The sequence below is a fragment of the Homo sapiens genome, chromosome 1 (genome assembly GCF_000001405.40).
Source record: "Homo sapiens chromosome 1, GRCh38.p14 Primary Assembly".
NCBI lineage: Eukaryota > Metazoa > Chordata > Mammalia > Primates > Hominidae > Homo > Homo sapiens.
The window spans coordinates 11269610-11273106 of NC_000001.11; the positions used below are offsets into that span (position 1 = coordinate 11269610).

Genomic DNA, 3497 nt, shown 5'->3' on the forward strand with positions numbered 1-3497 from the left:
AATCCCAGCACTTTGGGAGGCCAAGGCAGGTGGATCACCTGAGGTCAGGAGTTCGAGATCAGCTTGGTAAAACCCTATCTCTACTAAAAATATAAAAATTAGCTGAGCATGGTGGCAGACGCCTGTAATCCCAGTTACTCAGGAGGCTGAGGAGGAGAATCACTTGAACCTGGGAGGTGGAGGTTACAGTGAGCCGAGATCGCACCACTGCACTCCAGCCTGGGCGACAGAGCAAGACTCCGTCTCAAAAGCAAACAAAGTATATGGCTCATGTGAAAAGTCAATAAATGCTGTTTACTATTATTCCTGAGCATTTCTATGAGGCAGGTTGTATTGTTCCCACCTTATATATAAGTAAGCCAAAGAACAGAGATATTGGGACATGGAATTGGTAAGTGATAGAGCCAGGATTTTAATCTATCTGCTGATATATTGTCTGATTTGACATTGTATGACTCATGGGTTTGGCCAGCATAGAAAGCTCTGTGTTGAGTGGTGAAGTTGTAATGTTCAACAACCAGATTGGGGGTAAGTGGAAGCAGACATGTACAGAGCTAGCTTCACAGCTGTGTCATGCTCTGTTTTGCAATTGTTAATGATTTTGAACAAGAGGCCCCACTTATTTTTTTTATTTTTTAAATTAATTAATTATTTTTTTTGAGATGGAGTTTTGCTCTTATTGTCCAGGCTGGAGTGCAATGGCACGATCTCGGCTCACCGCAACCTCCACCTCCCGGGTTCAAGTGATTCTCCTGCCTCAGCCTCCTGAGTAGCTGGGATTACAGGCATGCGCCACCACTCCCGGATGATTTTGTATTTTTAGTAGAGACGGGGTTTCTCCATGTTGGTCAGGCTGGTCTTGAACTCCCAACCTCAGGTCATCTGACCACCTTGGCCTCCCAAAGTGCTGGAATTACAGGCGTGAGCCACCGTGCCTGGCCTGGCCCCACTTATTTATTGATTTTATTTTATTTTTTTGAGATAGGATCTCACTCTATTACCCAGGCTGGAGTGCAGGGGCACAATCATGACTCACTGCAGCCTCAACTTCCCAGGCTCAGGTGATTCTTCCGCCTCAGCCTCCCAAGTAGCTGGGACCACGGGTGCACACTGCCACGCCTGGCTAATTCTTTTACTTTTTCTTTTTCTTTTTTTTTTTTTTTGAGATGGAGTCTTGCTCTGTCGCCCAGGCTGGAGTGCAGTGGCACGATCTCGGCTCACTGCAAGCTCCGCCTCCGGGGTTCATGCCATTCTCTTGCCTCAGCCTCCCAAGTAGCTGGGACTACAGGTGCCTGCCACCACGCCTGGCTAATTTTTTTGTATTTTTAGTAGACATGGTGTTTCACCATGTTAGCCAGAATGGTCTTATCTCCTGACCCCATGATCTGCCCGCCTCGGCCTTCCAAAGTGCTGGGATTACAGGCGTGGGCCACTGCACCTGGCCCACACCTGGCTAATTCTTCGATTTTTACCGTGTGGTCCAGGCTGGTCTTCTCCTGGGCTCAAGCGATCCACCTGCCTTGTCCTCCCAAAGTGTTGGGATTACAGGTGTGAGCCACCACATCTGGTCTTTTTAATTTTTTAGAGCGGAGATCTCACTTTGTTGCCCAGGCTGGTCTCTAACCTGAGCTCAAGAGATCCTCCCGCCGGGTGCGGTGGCTCACACCTGTAATCCCAGTACTTTGGGAGGCTGAGGCAGGCGGATCACGAGGTCAGGAGATAGAGACCATCCTGGCTGACACGGTAAAACCTTGTCTCTACTAAAAATACAAAATAATTAGCCGGGCGTGGTGGCGGGCGCCTGTAGTCACAGCTACTCGGGAGGCTGAGGCAGGAGAATGGTGTGAACCCTGGAGGCGGAGCTTGCAGTGAGCCGAGATTGTGTCACTGCACCCCAGCCTGGGCAACAGAGCAAGACTCCGTCTCAAAAAAACCTCCTGAGTAGCTGGGACTACAGGCACACATTATCACCCCCAGCTCCACCTCTTTAGTTTGCACTGGGTACCACAAATTATGTAGTCAGTCCTGTGTGCATCTATGTTGCATGTGTATTATAATTTCACTGATGTAAATGATGTGTAGCATACAGTTTACAAATACTAAAATATACAGTACAGGACTCTATTGTAAACTCCATATAGCCAGTTCTCACAGTATGCTTTCTTTGATGTTGTGTAGCTTCCCTATGGTCCCAATTGATCAATGAGCATAGTTCAGACATGAATGTTGGTTGATATTTTATGTTAGGAGTAAGAGGAAAGTGAAACAATCAAAAGAGATATGTCAGAACTTCACTAGTTTGTCAAGGCTACAAGCGACTTATTTGTTCAACTGGATAATAATTTGCCAATGCTGAACGAATATTTCCTCAAAGTTTTGGTGCATTCACTTACACACTTTTTTTCTCTCTTTTTTTTCTTTTTTGAGACGGAGTCTCGCTCTACTGCCCAGGCTGGAGTGCAGTGGCGTGATCTTGGCTCACTGCAGCCTCTGCCTCCAGGGTTCAAGCAATTCTCCTGCCTCAGCCTCCCGAGTAGCTGTGATTACAGGAATGCACCACCACCCCCGGCTAATTTTTTTTTTTTTTTTGAGATGGAGTCTCACTCTGTTGCCCAGGCTGGAGCCCATTGGCATGATCTTGGCTCACTGCAACCTCCATCTCCCGGGTTCAAGCAATTCTCCTGCCCCAGCCTCCCGAGTAGCTGGGATTACAGGTGCCTGCCACCACGCACGGCTAATTTTTGTATTTTTAGTAGAGACAGGGTTTCGCTATGTTGGCCAGGCTGATGTCGAACTCCTGACATCAAGTGATCCGCCTGCCTCGGCCTTCCAAAGTGCTGGGATTACAGGCGTGAGCCACCGCACCCTCCAACACTTTTAAGTTTAACCAGTAATATGAACATTTTCTCCGCCACTTTCTTAAGTCTAGACGACTTAGCAGTTATTAAGCATTTGCTGATTTGCGTGGTGTAAATTCTCCCACCATGGGCAGATTTCAAGCTGCTGAAGGATGTCACTGAATGAAAAGCTGATAAGAGGTGAGCAGTAGCACATCATAGAGTATTTCCACGGTGCAGATATGATAGACGTCAGAATGTATGCACACAGCAGGCGCTCAATAAATGCTTGTAGCATGAATAAATTAATGAATCCTACTTCGTGAATGAAAGTGCGCCCGGTAAGTCCTAAAGCAACACGCCTTCGAGTTCTTATGATGCTAAGAGAGGCTGATTGCAGTTAGTCTGGAAGTAGCTGCGGGGCGCAGTGCAGGCAGGAAAAGGGCTGGATGCCGGGTCACCGCCCGGCCCCAGCTCCTGGCCCGTCCCCGCTCCCGGTCCATTCCCGCCCCGGCCCCGCCCCCTCCCGCCCCACCACCGGTCTGGCCCCGCCCCTCAGCCCCGCCCCACCCCTCACCGCCCTTCTCCCCGCCTCTGACCCCGCCCCTCCTCTGACTCGGCCCTGCCCGCCCCGCCTCTGACCAGGCCCCCGCCCCCCAC

At 49.5% G+C, this 3497-nt stretch overlaps 1 annotated feature.

Moving 5' to 3' along the window:
• Nucleotides 3168-3437: a silencer, noted in NCBI's record as "silent region_262". NCBI's record gives its function as "represses an Ori minimal core promoter by ATAC-STARR-seq in GM12878 lymphoblastoid cells {active_cell/tissue: GM12878}" and the evidence as "EXISTENCE:reporter gene assay evidence [ECO:0000049][PMID:35858748]".